Below are 18048 nucleotides of genomic sequence, written 5' to 3' on the forward strand. Positions count from 1 at the left end.
ACCCATCGAGAGTAGTTTTCAACAGTAGTGGCCTCCTTCTTCTCACCAGACAGTTTAGGATGTGGAGCCGGCATCCTTGGCAAATTATCATACTCCCTTCTCAGTTTGGATCAGCTTCCAACGTTTTCTCCTTTGTGCTTTCAATGTCATAAAATAACGGTTGAGTTCCTTTAACCCTCAGGACCTGGCAGCTAACAGGGAAGTGCCAGCTGCCTTCCTCAGTCTAGCTTCCTTCTAGGTTCTTACAGCTGCTCCCACCATGCTGTTTCCCACGGGTAAGATGCTTCCTCTTTATCAGTCTAGCTCTAGAGTAGACAAAAACACCTCTCCTTGGCTTTCCTTAACCTTTTCTGGCACCAGAGTGTATTTCCTTAAGAAAAGTGATTCTGACATAAGTCCCATGCTTATAAATATTTGTACTCTGGTATCCACAGAATGAAATCTGAACTGCTGAGCACAGAATTGTAGGTCCTTCACAGTCAGGCCCCCAGCTACTTTTCCAACGTTATTATCCTCCACGGCCTGTAGTCCACTCCCCTGCCACACTGAAGTTTGCCGATTGAACAAAGCCCCACAAATGCCCAAGCCCCTGCATACGCTGCTCACAGTGAAATATACTCACATGTTGCACCTGGAAAATGTCTGCTCATACTTTGAGACCCAGTTCATAGGTCCTTAGTGAAATCTTTTCAGACTGCCTCAGGCAAAGCTAGCCGCTGTGGGTTTTGTAGCCTTTATAGCTACCATGTGGTGATAGGAAATTTATTTGTTAATGTGTCTTTATTTCTCCTCCACAGTAATTGGTAAATAGTACTTAGTTGAATAAATGAATGGTTGAATGTTCAAATTAACACATAACCAGAAAGTTGATCTGTCACAGGATAGTAGAAAACAATGTGGGATACAGTTCTTCCTCCATATCCCGTGGCACTGACTCCTACCCCCAGTCATGACACATTCACACACAGAAACTCTCATGCCTTTATAACATTCTGTTCTCTATTATGCAGAGCATTTCAGTGAAGCTTATTCGAAGTGTTCTTTCTCTGTATTTGTCTCGTTTACCAAAGGCAGTTCCTTAATGCTGGCAAGCACGTCCTTGTGGAATACCCCATGACACTGTCATTGGCGGCCGCTCAGGAACTGTGGGAGCTGGCTGAGCAGAAAGGTAATGTATCTTACCAAGAGTTTCTGCCTCCAGGATTTCTGTGATATCATCTTTATGCCTTTAAAACTTAACCCCATTTCAGATATCTCCTCCTCCTGGCTACACTGGCACTGTGGGCTCCCAACTGCCTCCTCACCCCCACACTGTAAACACAGATAGTGGAGGGCAGAAGGATGGGTGGGAATTTGCAAACTTTTGGTCAAAGCTTATCAGCTTATTTTACTCACTCTAAGGAAAAAATATGAATTAGTTTTCACCTATGCTTATGTCATGATATTATTTTGGCTTTATTCATGTGATACTTATATTGCTAAATGCTGGGATATCCTAAAAATGCTCAAATCAGAGAAACTGATTGTCTTATTTGCATAGTTTGTAGTTTTTGTTGTTTCTAAACAGGAATAACCATTTATTAAATATTTAGTATATGCTAGGAACTTGGAAACTCTGCTAAGCACTTCATATGTTATTTTGCTTAATTCTTCTAGAATCCCTTGGAGGTATATATTTTCTCTAGATGCTGTATAGAAAAATATGGCTCAAAGAAGTTAATTTGTGCCAGGTCACAAAGCTAATAACATGACTACTAAGTGGGAGGTAGAGATTTTAATCAAATCCTACAGGGCTCTTAAGTTCACATTTGTTCCCCTAAGCCATACCACCCTCCAGAAGGGAGAAATTAAGACTTTCCCAGGCCAGACGCAGTGGCTCATGCCCTGTCAGCCCAGCACTTTGGGAGGCCAAGGAGCTTGGGACAACCCTGGGCAACATAATGAGACCCTGTTTCTACAAAAATCTTTTACAACTTTTTTTTTTTTTTTTTTGGTGGGGTACAGAGTCTTGCTGTGTCACCCAGGCTGGAGTTCAATGGCACCATCTCAGCTCACTGCAACCTCCGCCTCCTGGGTTCAAGGGATTCTCCTTCCTCAGCCTCCTGAGTAGCTAGGATTACAGGCGCCCACCACCATGCCCAGCTAATTTTTGTATTTTTAGTAGAGATGGGGTTTCACGATGTTGGACACAATGGTCTCAAACTCCTGACCTCGCGATCCACCCACCTCGGCCTCCCAAAGTGCTGGGATTACAGGCATGAGTGACCGTGCCCGGCATACAAAATTTTTAATTACAAGAAAAAAAAAAAAAGACTCAGCTGGGCACAGTGGCTCACACCTGTAATCCCAGCACTTTAGGAGGCTCTGATGGATAGATTATTTGAGCCCAGGAGTTTGAGACCAGCCTGGGCAACATGGTGAAACCCCATCTCTACTGAAAATACAAAAATTAACTGGGTGTGGTGGTGCATACCGGTAGTCCCAGCTACTTGGAAGTTCACCTGAACCTTAGGAGGTTGAGGCTGCACTGAACCATGATCGGGCCACTGCACTCTAGTCTGGGCAACAGAGTGAGACCCTGTCTCAAAAATAAAAATAAAAATTCTTTAAAAGACCTACCCAGACAAACAAAAACCAAGTGAGTTGATCACTACTAGACCTGCCCTACAGGAAATGCTAAAGGAAGTCTTTCAAGTTAAAGTGAAAACACTAGACAGCAACACAAAAATATTGCTCTCTGGTAAAGGTAAATATATAGACAAATACAGACTTCCGTAGTATTGTAATGTTGACATATAAATCACTTTAGGCCAGGCACGGTGGCTCAAGCCTGTAATCCCAGGACTTGGGGAGGCCGAGGCAAGCAGATCATTTGAGGTCAGGAGTTCAAGACCATCCTGGCCAACATGGTGAAACCCCATCTCTACTAAAAATAAAAAAATTAGCTGGGCGTGGTGGCGCTTGCCTGTAGTCCCAGCTACTCAGGAGGCTGAGGCAGCAGAATTGCTTGAACCTGGGAGGCGGAGGTTGCAGTGAGCTGAGATGGTGCCACTGCACTCCAGCCTGGGTAACACCATGAAACTCTATCTCTAAATAAATAAATATCACTTTAAATCCTGGCATAGAATTTAAAAGACAAAAAAATACAAACTATGTTAATGGATGTATAGTATAAAAAGATGTAATTGGTAACATTAATAGCAAAATGGGGGGTCAGAGATATAAAGGAGTAGAATTTTGTATGTGATTGAGTTAAGTTGTTAGCAGTTTAAAATAGATTATGCAGTCGGGTGTGGTGGCTCATGCCTGTCATCCCAGCACTTTGGGAAGCCGAGGCTGGTGGATCACCTGAAGTCAGGATTTCAAGAGGAGCCTGGGCAACATGGTGAAACTCCGTCTCTACTAATAATACAAAAATTAGCTGGGCCTGGTGGCACGTGCCTGTAATCCCAGCTACTCCAGAGGCTAAGGCACGAGAATCGCTTGAACCCAGGAGGTGGAGGTTGCAGTGAGCCAAGATTGTGGCATTGCACTTTAGCCTGGGCGACACAGTGAGACTCCATCTCAGAAATTAAATACATACATAAATAAATAATAAAAATAGATTGTGCCTGTAATCCCAGCACTTTGGGAGGCTGAGGCGGGCGAATCACCTGAGGTCAGGATTTCAAGACCAGCCTAGCCAACATGGTGAAACCCCATCTCTACTAAAAATACAAAAATTAGCCAGGTGTGGTGGCGCGCACATATAGTCCCAGCTACTGGGGAGGCTGAGGCAGGAGAATTGCTTAAACCCAGGAGGCAGAGGTTGCAGTGAGGGAGATCGCACCACTGCACTCCAGCCTGGGCGATGGAGTGAGACTCTGCTCAAACAAAACAAAACAATACAAAACTGACAAGATGTAATGAAAGCAGTACTAAGAGAGAAGTGGATAGTTGTAAATGCTTACATTAAACAAGAAGAAAGATCTCAATTCAACATCCTAACTTTACATTTCAAGGGACTAGGAAAAGAAGAGCAAACTCAATCGAAAATTAGCAGAAAAAAGCAAGTAAAGATTAGAACATAAATAAAATAGAGAGTAGAAAAGCAATAGAAAAAAATCAACAAAACCAAGTTTTTTTGAAAAAAATCCATAAAATTGACAGAATTTTAGCAGATTAAGAAAAAAAAGAGTCGGCCGGGTGCAGTGGCTCACGCCTGTAATCCCAGCATTTTGGGAGGCCAAGGAGGACAGATCACAAGGTCAAGAGTCCAAGACCTGCCTGGCCAAAATAGTGCAACCCCATCTCTACTAAAAATACAAAAATTAGCCAGGCATGGTGGCACATGCCTATAGTCCCAGCTACTCGGGAGGCTGAGACAGGAGAATCACTTGAACCCAGGAGGTGGAGGTTGTGCTGAGGGGAGGTTGTGGTGAGCCGAGATTGCACCACTGTACTCCATCCTGGGCAACAGAGCGAGACTCTGTCTCACAAAAAAAAAAAAAAAAGAAAAGAAAAGAAAAGAAAAAAAGAGTAAAGACTCAAACTAAAGTCAGAAGTGAAAGAGGAGACATTACAACAAATGCTGCTGAAATAAAAAGGATTATATGAGACTACAATGAACACTTATACAATTGTTATACTCCAACAATCGGATAATCTAGAAAGGGATAAATACCTAGTAGCATATAACCTACTAAGACTGAATCATGAAGAAACAAAAATCTGAACAGATTTATAACTAGTAAGGAGATTGAACCAGTAATTAAACACCTCCCAATAAAGAAAAGCCTAAAACCAGATGGCTTCACTGGAGAATTCTACCAAGTGTTTCAGTCTCTTCAAAAAGTGGTCCCAGGAAAACAGGATATCCACATGCAAAAGAATGAAGTTGGACACTTACCTTACACCATATAAAAAATTCACTCAAATGGATTAAAGAACTAAATTTAAGACCTAAAACTGTAATATTGTTAGAAGAAAACATGGGAAAGCATCAAGATATTGGATTTGGCAATAATGTCTTACATACGACATCAAAAACACAGGCAAAAAAAGCAAAAAACAGACAAATGGACTAATCAAACTTAAAACCTTCTGTGCCTCAAAGGAAGCAATCAACTGAGTGAAAAAGCAGTCTATGTAATGGGTGAAGATATCTGCAAATCTTATCTTTGATAAGAGATCAATATCCAGAATGTCTAAAGAACTCTACAACTCAACAACAAACAAACCAAATAAACTGATTTTAAAATGGGCAAAGGACTTGGATAGACATTTTTCTGAAGAAGTTATTCAGACGGCAAACAATCATATGAAAAGATGCTCAATACCACTAATCCTTATAGAAAATGCAAATCAAATCCACAGCCACCGTCAGTAACCACCAGCATCAGTCAGCAGCCATCAACATGGAAGCAAGACCTTCCTTCAGCAAAAAGATGGAGGATCAGATGGTAGCATTTTTTGTTTGTTTTTGTTTTTTGGTTTTTTAAGACAGTCTCGCCCTGTTACCTAGGCTTGAACGCAGTGGCGCAAACCTCCGCCTCCTGGGTTCAAGTGATTCTTGTGCCTCAGCCACCTGAGTAACTGGGATTATAGGTGCACACCACCACACACAGCTAATTTTTGTATTTTTAGCAGAGATGGGGTTTCGCCATGTTGGCCAGGCTGGTCTTGAACTCCTGGCCTCAAGTGATCCGCCTGCCTGAGCCTCCCAAAGTGCTGGAATTACAGGCATGGGCCAACATGCCCAGCTCAATAACGTATTTTTAAATTAAGGTACGTACGTTGTTTTCCTAAACATAGTGTTATCACATACTTAACAAACTACAATATAGTATAAACATAACTTGTGTATGAACCGGGAAACTAAAATATTCATGTGACTCCCTTTATTGCAATATTCACTTTATTGTGGTGGTCTGGAATGAAACCTGCAGGATCTCTGAGGTATGCATGTAACCGCATACAACCATCAAAATCTGGAAATTGGCATTGGTACATTACAACAATCTAATCCTCAAACCTCATTCAAATTTCACCAGTTGTCCCAATAACATTCTTTATGGCAAAATGACTGAGTTCAAAATCATGTATTATCTTTTATTGACATGTCACTTTTAGTGTCCTTCATTCTGGACAGTTCCTCCATCTTTTCTTGACAATTATGAATATTACAGTTAGTTATTGTGTAAAATGTCCCTAAATTTGAATATATCTGATGTTTCTTCATGATTAGATTTGGGGTATGCATCTTTCACAGAAATAGTATGCAAGTGGCCAGGCATGGTGGCTCACACCTGTAATCCTAGCACTTTGGGAGGCCAAGGCAGGCAGATTACTTGAGGTCAGGAGTTCAAAACCAGCCTGGCCTACACTGTGAAACCCCGTCTCTACTGAAAATATCAAAAAAATTAGCCAGGCATGATGTGGGCACCTGTAATTCCAGCTACTCGGGAGGCTGAGGCAGGAGAATTTCTTGAACCCGGGAGGCACAGTTTGCAGTGAGACGAGATCGCACCACTATACTCCAGCCTGGGTGACAGAGGGAGACTCCCCATCTCACAAAAAAAAAAAAAAAAAAAAAAAAAAAAAGGAAACGATGCTGTTTTTCACATTGTGTTCTGTCAGGTAACATCCAATATCAGTTCATCTAATTACTAATGATATCACTTCATTAGGTGGTGTCTGACGGGCTTTTCCACTGAAAGTTACTTTTTTTCCCTTTGTAATCAGTGATTATTTTGTGAGAAGGTAGTTTATAACTAGTTAAATATCCATTCTCATCACACTGTCTGATATTCATTTATTATTTTATATCAGTAGAAACTCATAGCTTTGTTTTGTTTTTCTATTCAGTGCTGTTGTTACTTTTTATTATTCATATTGATGTCCACATTGTTCCAAATTTGCTCAGTGGGGAACCTCTTCCTGCCAGCTCCCTTGTCATTTTGTTATGTTTCCATTATTCTTTGAATTCTTGCTTTCTGGCACAAAGTGGTTAAGGCTCATCTTGTACTTTCTCTGCCTCAGCCTTGGAATTAGTCAGTTCTCCAATGGCTAATAACGTTTTGATGGCAAGATTTGGACACTGCTTGTGCTTATGGCTTTGGGCTATCTCTGCAAGCCCTTTCAGTGAACAGACCTGGGAATATATGGATACGGATGTGTGTGTGTACTGTGGTTACCATGTGTGTTTATCACAATCAGGCATTGAGTGAACGACAGGAAAACAACAAAAGACACAGCTGGAAAATACATAGTTTCTTTAATAACCATGGATGTGGAAACACAGAGACTGTTACATAGTGCTGGGGAAAATATAACATGTTCCCCAGAGTTTCACGGTGGGGTGGGGGGCAGTGGGCGAAACTACCTGTGAGGAGAAAAGCTTGTACTTATTGCAAAGCATTTTGTGCCATTTAGTTGTTGCAAAGCCATTTTGTGCCAGAAAGCTTCTACTTATCACAAGAAGTTCCTTTTGCCACATTCACGTCTGAAGGAGTGGGTGGGAAGGACCCCATCCTCCCACACACCTGACATTTCTGGAGACTCCTGCGACAGACATCCTCCTTGCTCCTGAGGTGCAGGTCAAGCCCAGAGCATTTGGCAGTATTTGCTGTGATGCTGGGTTAGACAAAGGCAACCGTCCCAGGAGCATCTCCCACTGACCCAGATTTCTGTCTGTTTCAGTGAAACTGTAGATCATAACCACACTTTGTACTTAATCACAAAATAGTTCTGGTGTTTTAGGAAGCTTTTGGCCTAGAAATGAAAAAATTTTTATAGAGCGAAAAAATTTTATATAGCAAAAAAATTGTTAACAGCTTTCTTTTATAATCCAAAATTTATTTTATTTTATTTTTATTTTTATTTTTTGAGATGGGCTGCAGTGCACTGGTACGATCTTGGCTAACTGCAACCTCCACCTCCCAGGTTCAAGTGATCTTCCCAGCTCAGCCTCCCAAGTAGCTGGGACCACAGGTGCATGCCACCACACCTAGCTAATTTTTTGTATTTTTTGTAGAGGCCAGGTTTTGCCATGTTGCCCAGGCTGGTCTCAAACTCCTGAGCTTAGGCAATCCACTTGCCTTGGCCTCCCAAAGTGCTGGGATTATAGGCATGAGCCACCAAGCCTGGGCACGTTCTTACTCTGTTAGATTTTTATGCTGCACTGCCTCCTCCTGTCTAGAACAGTAGCTAACTGTCTCCTGGCCCACAGACACATCCCTGATCTCATCTTGCCTTTGGACACAGGTAGATACCATCTTGTTCTCTTAAATTTTCATTTCATTTCTCAGGTTTTCGTTTCATTCATTTCTCTTTTTTTCTTTTTCTTTTTGAAACGGAGTCTCACTCTGTCGCCCAGGCTGGAGTGCAGTGATGCAATCTTGGCCCACTGCAATTTCTGCCTCCCAGGTTCTAGTGATTCTCCTGCCTCAGCCTCCCAAGAAGGTGGGCTTACAGGTGCCCACCACCACACCTGGGTAATTTTTGTATTTTTAGTAGAGGTGGGGTTTCACCATGTTGGCCAGGCTGGTCTGGAACTCCTGACCTCAGGTGATCTGCCAGCCTCGGCCTTCCAAAGTGCTGGGATTACAGGCATGAGCCACCATGCCTGGCCTTCATTTCATTCATTTCTGTTGTAAGCTTAGAAGTAGCAGCCTCTTCAGCTGGGGTGGGTGACAGTGGTAGGGAGGCCATCCTGGCCATGTGCCCAGGGCAGTTATGAGTGCTTCATGTCTTGTGTTAGGGGATGACAGAGTACCCTCTGGGATGCACACCTAGACACAACTGACGACTGCCCTTTTTATTCCATTTTTGTCGTTACAGGAAAAGTCTTGCACGAGGAGCATGTTGAACTCTTGATGGAGGAATTCGCTTTCCTGAAAAAAGAAGTGGTGGGGAAAGACCTGCTGAAAGGGTCGCTCCTCTTCACAGGTCAGTGCTACGTGGGATCACAGGTCACATGTGAGGTCCAAAGACCAGCCAGATTCTTTCCTGGCTCTCTGGGATGGGAGCTTATATTCATTTCTGCTCAAGACTCTCTGACTCAGGGCCACTTAATTTTCCCAGATGGGATTTAATTCCTTGGTGGCCCTTGGGTAAAGAGTATGTTAGAAATCTCAAGCATATTTGTGCTCTGTCCCAACCTATTAACTAGTTGGAGATTATTTTTCAACAGGAAGTTGTACATTAAAACTCTTTTAAAAGGATGAGAGGTGCTTGGAGAGGAGAACATTTTTATACTTCCTTGCAAAGCAAATATAATATGAAGAGCTCCCTTCCTCCTCTAGCAAGTTACAAGGACATTGGCAGCAACCACAGTATTTATTTATTTATTTATAATAAATAATAAATATTTACTTATTCTGTTCTTACTCTGTTGCCCAGGTCTTACTCTGTTGCCCAGGCTGGAGTGCAGTGGTGCAATCATAGCTCACTGTAGCCTCAACCTCCCAGGCTCAAGCAGTCCTCCCACCTCAGCCTTCCAAGTAGCTGGAAACACAGATGTGCGCCACAATACCCAGCTAATTTTAAAATTTGTGTAAACAGTGTCTCCCTATGTTGCCCAGCCTCATCTCAAACTCCTGGGCTCAAGTGATCCACCTGTCTTGGCCTCCAAAGTGCTGGGATTACAGGCATGAGCCACCGTGCCCAGCTGACCACAGTATCTGATCTGTATTTGTAGCTGTTTACTTGATGTTGGTCACTCTTTGAGCAGCTCCGTTAGCAATAGGAAATGGGCATGCAGGAAGCTCCTGCTCTTGTGGCCACTTTTGGATGGGCTCCTTCTCTGGCCGTATCGTTGGGCACCTGGGCCACCATTCCTGAGGGCTTTCATTACAGAAAGGAGACCCTGACATGGCCTGGCATTTTTGCACGGTAAAGCCACTGATACATAGTAGAACCTCATTTCAAAATCTGTCTTCATCCTTGAAAATGGTAATATAATGAGAGTACAAACCATTAATTTGTACAAGAAACTGTGTTAAGTTAAGTAAGTTAAGTACAAGTAACTGTGATGTGCATTAATCCATATGACAATCCTATAAAGTGGTATTCACTACCCCCATTATACAGATAAACTGAAGTTCAGAGGCATGAGTGGCTTCACAGAGGTAACGTAGCGGTCATGAGACAGAGCTGGATTGGAGCTCAGCTCTCTAAGTGGCTGGAACTGTTGTGGGTGGCTGCTTAGTATTCTGTCCAAAGAACTAGGCTGGGCATAGTGGCTCACGCCTGTAATTCCAGCACTTGGGGAAGCTGAGGCTGGTGGATCACCTGAGGTCAGGAGTTTGAGACCAGTCTGGCCAACATGGTGAAACACCGTCTCTACTAAAAAAAAAAAATACAAAAATTAGTCGGGCATGGTGGCACGCACCTGTAATTTCAGCTACTTGAAAGGCTGAGGCAAGAAAATCGCTTTAACCCAGGAGGCAGAGGTTGTAGTGAGCCGAGATCGCACCACTGCACAGCCTAGGTGACAACGAGACTCTGTCTCAAAAACAAACAAACAAACAAACAAAAAAGAACTAGAGCAGACAGTAACCAGCCCTGGGGAAGTCTTTTTGTTTTGTAAGTTTGATACTTAGGCCCCAGTGATTTCAAACCATATTGTCTATGAAAATTCTAATTTTTGTTTGGTTTTATATATAACTTATTACTTTTTAAGAATATACTCATTGTTATTAGTCATTGTTTTAAGTGAATATCAAGGTCATAAGAAATGTTTTGTTTATAATGTAATGTAACAGATATGAAGTCTTTTAAACTTAGGTTATGTTTAAGATTTTGGCTGGAGGCAGACGGGAGCAGTATCTTGACCAAATGGATTTCTCACACCAATACTCTTTTTTATGTTTATATATATATATTTTTTTGATATAGGGTATCACTCTGTCACCCAGGCTGGAATGCAGTGGTACAATTATGGCTCACTGTAACCTCGAACTCCTCAGGCCCAGATGATCCTCCCACCTTAGCTTCCTGAGTAGCTGGGGCTGCAGGTGTGCACCACGACACCCGCCTAATTTTGTGTGTTTTTTTGTAGAGACAGAGTCTTGCTATGTTGCCTAGGCTGGTCTTGAACTCCTGGGCGCAAGCAGTCTGCCAGCCTTGGCCTCCCGAAGTGCTGGTATTATAGGCATGAGCTACTGTACGTGGCCTTTTTAGGCTTACTGCAACCTCTGCCTCCCGGGCTAAAGTGATTCTCCTGCCTCAGCCTCCCAAGTAGCTGGGGTTACAGGCACCCGTCACTATGCCCGGGTAATTTTTGTATTTTTTTTTACTAGAGACGGGGTTTTGCCATGTTGGCCAGGCTAGTCTCGAACTCAAGTGATCCACCCACCTTGGCCTCCCAAAGTGCTGGGACTACAGGCGTGAGCCACCACGCCTGGCCCCAATACTCTTTTGAGTGTACTTTTTTGTTCACAAGATTAGGAAGACTAAGAAAACATTTAACATTGTATCAATTTTCTTGATATTGAAATAGCTCAAAGGTATTACCATTTTCTCCATAGCTATTATAATACCTTCATACCTTATTGCCACTTACACATCAGGTAGTTATAAGAATACAGGCTTGCAGGGCTAAAATACTTTGATTCTTCTACTTTTACCAGACTACTTTAAATCACTAAAGAGGATATATATATATGTATATGTAGGTATGTGTTGTGTGTGTGTGTGTGTGTATGTATATCTACATATGTGTACATAGATGTATATATTAGAAGCCTGAAACTTTTTTATTATCCTGTTTGGCTGGATTGACTGCTGTTTCCAGTAGAATGTTTTACTAAAACTCAATTTAATAAACAGGAAAAGACAGAGATGCTTTTATGATAGAGTTGAAGTTCAGCCACCTGAGTTTTCATCAGTATCATTAATCACGTTGCCTGCCTACCACATAAGGCAAGGTCCCATTGTACTGATCACTCGGCCACATCTTTTCACACCCCCGCCACCCCCACCCCCCTGTCCTGCTTTCCACTTGGCATTCCTGCTTCCCAGTTCCCACAGCATTTGTGATTTCCCACAGCTGGCCCGTTGGAAGAAGAGCGGTTTGGCTTCCCTGCATTCAGCGGCATCTCTCGCCTGACCTGGCTGGTCTCCCTCTTTGGGGAGCTTTCTCTTGTGTCTGCCACTTTGGAAGAGCGAAAGGAAGATCAGTATATGAAAATGACAGTGTGTCTGGAGACAGAGAAGAAAAGGTAAGTCATGAGAAGCCATGAGGAGGAGGAAATTTAAGGACATCCTAGTACATTTGCAGGTATGATCCAAAGGGAGCCCCGAGGGGCTAGACCCTCACTCCCAGCTCCAGAAGGGCTGTCTGCTTCTGCAGATGGAGTGCTGAGATTGCACTTGTGTTGCCTCATCTCATCCTCTCAGCAGCCCTGTGAGGTAAAGAAGACAAACATAATCCCATCTGCCAGTCAGTAGACAGAGGCTTACAGAATGCCAGCAGGTTGCCTAAGTCATGCAAGTCATTCATAGCAGATTAGTAGTGGAAATTACATTACCTTGGCTGGGCGTGGTGGCTCAGGCCTATAATCCCAGCACTTGGGGAGGCCAAGGGTGGTGGATCACCTGAGGTCAGGAGTTTGAGACCAGCCTGGCTAACATGGTGAAACCCTGTCTCTACTAAAAATGCAAAAATTAGCCGGTGTGGCGGTGCATGCCTGCAGTCCCAGCTCCTTGGCAGGCTGAGGCAGGAGAATTGCTTGAACCTGGGAGGCAGAGGTTGCAGTGAGCTGAGATCAGGCCACTGCATTTCAGCCTGGGCAACAGAGCGAGACTCCTTCTTGAAAAAAAAGAAAAGAAAAAGAAATTATGTTAACTCTGTGACCTGATTTTTTTCCTGTGTTTTCTTATGAAAGTTTTCGGGCATATTGTGAAGTTGAAAGAATTTTTAAGTAAACACCCATCCACCTACTCCCTAGACCCTGCCATTAACACTGTACATGTTCCCCGCAGGGCCACACATTCACCCCTCAGTGCAGCCAGAGTGTGAGGGTCTGTGTTTCAGCTTTAGCATCCCATCACCCTGTCACACTGTTCCCAAAACATTCTGACTTATTTCTCATACCAGGTCTTTTTTAACAAAAGCACATTCATAATTTTCCTCCCAAAGCACCTGGGCTCTGTAAATTATTTAGAACAGTAAGGGTTTTAGAGTGTTTCTGGATGCCTTTGCAGAGAGGTGGGTCTCCTGGTAGTAAAAGAAGCAGACACTGGGTATTTTAAAAAGAAAAAAGAATTTGAGTTCCTGAATGAAGCCTGATCTAGTCCATTTTGAGGAGTTTCTTCTTCGCTAGGAAAAGGCAGAGAGGCCTGGCAGATGAAAGCAAAGCACATGGAACTTGGCAGTGCTCCCTATGGAGTGACCAACAGTGGTGGCCCGGGCTCTGGTGTGGCCATGTGAGTGTTAGGATTGCAGCCGTGGTCAGACCTATACACAGACAGTTGTAGCACCCTGTAATTAGAGGTAAAGATACTGTAGGGTGCTGTAGGAGCACAGGGAAGGGGAACCTGGACTAGGTCAGCTCATGGTTCTGATGGGAGGCGGTGCCTTGTTTGGTCTTGAAGTTGAGTAGAAGTCAATGAGGAAGCAAGATGTTGGGGAGGCAGAGGCTGACTCTCTCTCTCTTTTTTTTTTTTTTTTATGAGACAAAGTCTTGCTCTGTCACCCAGGCTGGAGTGCGGTGGTGTGATCTCAGCTCACTGCAACCTCCATCTCCCGGGTTCAAGTGATTGTCCTGCCTCAGCCTCCCGAGTAGCTGGGATTATAGGCGCCTGCCACCACGCCCGGCTCATTTTTGTATTGTTAGTAGAGACAAGGTTTCACCATGTTGGTCAGGATGGTCTTGAACTCCTGACCTCAAGTGATCTGCTCACCTTGGCCTCTCAAAATGCTGAGATTACACGCATGAGCCACTGCACCCAGCCCTGGCTCTCATTTTTGCACAGGAGAGGCAAGCATCAGATGAGGGATTGGGACAGAGAGCAGTTAATATAATATAATAGTAACTTCTTAAAATCATAGTACTTTCCGTGTCCCAAATTGCATTTTTAAATTTTTTTATCTATTTATTTATTTATTTTGAGACCGGGTTATGAGACTGGCTGATTTTCGTATTTTTGGGTAAGATGGGTTTTTGCTATACTGTCTAGGCCGGTCTCAAATTCCTGGGCTCAAGCGATCCACCCACATCAGCCTCCACGCCTGGCCACAAACTGCATTTTTATCTCACAATGTCACAGCAAGATAGGTAAAGCTGTATACTTATTACCATTACTTATTTTTACTAGTGAGGAAATTGAGGTACAAGAAAGATCTTGACATTCTGCATTCCCTCAAATCCCAAGATTCCATATTATTTAAAAGGACATGAGAGGCCGGGCACAATGGCTCACGCCTGTAATCCCAGCACTTTGGGAGGCTAAGGCAGTTGGATCACCTGAAGTTGAGAGTTCAAGACCAGCTTGGCCAACATGGTGAAACCTTGTCTCTACTAAAAATACAAAAATTAGCCAGGCGTGGTGGCAGGTGCCTGTAATCCCAGGTACTGGGGAGCCTGAGGCAGGAGAATCGTTTGAACCTGGAGGCAGAGGTTGCAGTGAGCCGAGATTGCACCACTGCACTCCAGCCTGGGCAACAAGAGCAAACATCTCAAAAAAAAGACATGAGAAATTTTCTTAGGCAGACTACGTAGAATACCTCAAGTTTATTTTTATTCAGTGCCAAAATAAAAGTTAATCTTTGTTGCCATCTCCCAGAACATTTGCTAGACTGTACTATGAGCTTTTAAAACTAGTCATGGGAGGCCAGGTGCAGTGGCTCACGCCTGTAATCCCAGCAGTTTGGGAGGCCAAGGCAGGTGGGTCTCTTGAGGTCAGGAATTCAAGACTAGCCTGGCTGACATGGCAAAACCCCATTTCTACTAAAAATATTTTTTTAAAAAGTAGCCAGGCATGGTGGCAGGCGCCTGTAATCCCAGCTACTTGGGAGGCTGAGGCAGGAAAATTGCTTGAACCCAGAAGGCAGAGGTTGCAGTGGGTCGAGATTGCACCACTGCACTCCAGCCTGGGTGACAGAGCAAGGCTCCATCCCAGAAAAAAAAAAGTCACTGAATGAATTCCCCTGCCTGATGGCAAAATTAAATTAAAGACTGTTTGGCTGTGAGGTTGACACAGTCACCCACAGCCTCTGGGAGGCTGGTGGCTGCAAGGAGGATGGGTGCCTGACAAGGACATGTTACCAGGCGGTCTGGTGCCAGCAAGCACCCACTTGTGCTCTTGTGTAATCTCTAACATGATTCTTTTGTCTTTTGTCTTTGCAGTCCACTGTCATGGATTGAAGAAAAAGGACCTGGTCTAAAACGAAACAGATATTTAAGCTTCCATTTCAAGTCTGGGTCCTTGGAGAATGTGCCAAATGTAGGAGTGAATAAGAACATATTTCTGAAAGATCAAAATATATTTGTCCAGAAACTCTTGGGCCAGTTCTCTGAGAAGGAACTGGCTGCTGAAAAGAAACGCATCCTGCACTGCCTGGGGCTTGCAGAAGAAATCCAGAAATATTGCTGTTCAAGGAAGTAAGAGGAGGAGGTGATGTAGCACTTCCAAGATGGCACCAGCATTTGGTTCTTCTCAAGAGTTGACCATTATCTCTATTCTTAAAATTAAACATGTTGGGGAAACAAGAATCTTATTGTTATGAGCTATGTTGGGATATTTGGGGTTAGGGGCTATGCAGTGGGGACAAGGCGAGAATGAGCGTTGGTTGAGCTGAGCTAAATGCTTTGTATGTCTGATTTCACTTACTCCTCCTAACAGCCCTATGAGATGAGTACTAGCAGGCCTCTTTTTTTTTTTTTTTTTTTTTTGAGAGTCTCACTGTGTCACCCAGGATGGAGTGTAGTGGCACCATCTCGGTTCACTGCAGCTTCCACCTCCTGGGTTCAATCAGTTATCCTGCCTCAGTCTCCCAAGGAGCTGAGGATTACAGGCGCGTGCCTAATCCTGGCTAATTTTTGTAGTTTTAGTAGAGATGAGGTTTCGCCACGTTAGCCAGCCTGGTCTCGCTCGAACTCCCAACCTCAGGTAATCCACCTGCCTCGGCCTCCCAAAGTGCTGGGATTAGAGGCATGAGCCACCATGCCTGGCACCAGGTCTCTTTTCATTGTATACTAGAAAATGTTGTTTGAACAGAACCCTCCGAGATGATAGAGTCACCGCCCTTCTGCTCTCGTGTTCTCAGCTGCCCTATCTACCCTGCAGGTTGCTGCTGCTGCTGGAGCCCACGCAGGTCATGTGCCACTGTGGCATTTCCTAAACACTCCTGCCTCTGAAGGTGGCACCCCATGCCCCAGTCACAATTCTTTCAGAGTGTCACAGAAGGAAAGAATCCACATGTATTCCTCAGCAGTCTGTCCCTCTGTCCAATTTGAAGAAAAAAAAAGCCCTTAATCCCGCTGTACTAATGCTCCTAAGTGTTGAGGGGTCCTTCAGGAGGGCCTTGTGTCTCCAGGCAAGAGTGACCACAGAGGTGCCCTTTGCCCCTCAGCCCCTCTCCCTGTGGCAGCAGTGACCTGCCTGTCTGGTGAAGCTGGAAAAGGGACTAAACACATGACACCCAGCCACCTTCTCCCTCTGAACCGACATCCTTAGGATGCACCCAAGCTTGTCCACGTGGCAGGTGACTAAAGCAGACTCTTCCTCTGCAAGTAGGTGACCTGCAGCTGTGATGAAGAATTGAGTTACCCTAAGACAGGGCAGTTACCCTAAGACAGAGCCTAAGACAGTTACCCTAAGACAGAGCCTAAGAGTTACCCTAAGAGTTTAAGAGCCTAAGACAGAGTTACCCTAAGGTGGAGCCTAAGAGTTATCCTAAGACAGAGTTACCCTGCAGGGAGCCAAAGGCCCGCGGGACGTGACCAACTCAGCATTCCGCTGGAGGCTATATGATCAAACAGCGAACTGTTTATCATGAATGCAGGATGTGGGCAAACTCACACTGCCTTGCCACCAAAATGTTTGCTGAGGGACATCATGCCCTGGCGCCGGGCTCCTGGAAGTTATCTATTGAGAAATCTAGCGCCTATTGTTCACAAGCCCGCTGTGAACCAAACGGCTGACTGACAATTACCCGACAACCATCCTCCCACTTTCTTGCTGTCTCTTTCACCTAATAAATACAGAGGGCTGTGTAAAGCTCACGGCCCTTGTCCACTAGAGGCAAGATGCCCCTTGACCTCTTCTTCCAAATATACTCTTTTGTGTCTTGTCTTTTATTCCCACATTCGCCCCCCTTTGTTCAGTCCCCCGAGGTCCATGCAGGTTACAAGTGGCACCCCAAACAGCAACAGGATCGGGTGCTCTGCATAGTGGCATCCGAACACAGGACTTCGAGGACATGAATGAAGAAAGTCCGCTGGAGCAGAGGAACTGAAATTGACAAGGCGAATGGGGACCCCGAAACGAGTCTGCCAGCAGCAGAGATAAGGTCAGTGCCCTAAAGAGGTACTGATCAGTGCCGTAAAGAGGTACTGGGAGCAGTGCTTTAAAGAAGTACTAGGAACAGGAAGTTTTCTGAATCAGGCTAACAAGGGGAAGAATTTGTCTATTGAAGAAAAACATTATGTGCAGTTGCTTAAAGTTCTGTAGAGACAGTCTGGAGCTTAGGTTAATTCGCAGACACTAACCTCCTGCAGAAGCCACAAAAGGTTATTACGCATAACCCATGGTTCCCACAGGCAGGCATCCTTGATATGGAAAATTGAGACAAAGCAGGAGAAGGATTAAAACAGGCTCATCAAAAAGGTCTTAGCTGATTCTTAGTTGATTCTTCTGTTTTCTCCACTTGGAGTTTAGTTTGTACTGTACTTCTACCATTATCTCCTTATTATTCTGTGGGACAACAGCCTGAATCTAAAAATCTGAAAGAATATGTTGTCCCACCCACAGCTCCAATTGAAAATAAAAAACAGAGAGGATAAAAATTGGCCTATACCGCCTCCTCCAATTGCAGAAACATCTGTACTGCCTCCTTCAGTA

General features: G+C 44.1%; 1 protein-coding gene across 5 annotated transcripts in view; it reads left to right on the forward strand.

Annotated features, from left to right (window-relative positions):
• The window catches only part of BLVRA (biliverdin reductase A), a 49221-nt gene extending 33523 nt beyond the window's left edge, over positions 1 to 15698 (forward strand). For all 5 annotated transcript variants that reach the window (XM_011515474.3, NM_001253823.2, NM_000712.4 and 2 more), the window contains 4 exons: positions 1071 to 1168; positions 8821 to 8928; positions 12032 to 12203; positions 15333 to 15698. In XM_011515474.3, the coding sequence (XP_011513776.1) occupies positions 1071 to 1168; positions 8821 to 8928; positions 12032 to 12203; positions 15333 to 15591 (637 nt within the window). In that variant the 3' untranslated portion in view covers positions 15592 to 15698. The remainder of the gene's footprint in view (positions 1 to 1070; positions 1169 to 8820; positions 8929 to 12031; positions 12204 to 15332) is intronic.

This window comes from Homo sapiens, chromosome 7 (genome assembly GCF_000001405.40).
Source record: "Homo sapiens chromosome 7, GRCh38.p14 Primary Assembly".
Classification (NCBI taxonomy): domain Eukaryota; kingdom Metazoa; phylum Chordata; class Mammalia; order Primates; family Hominidae; genus Homo; species Homo sapiens.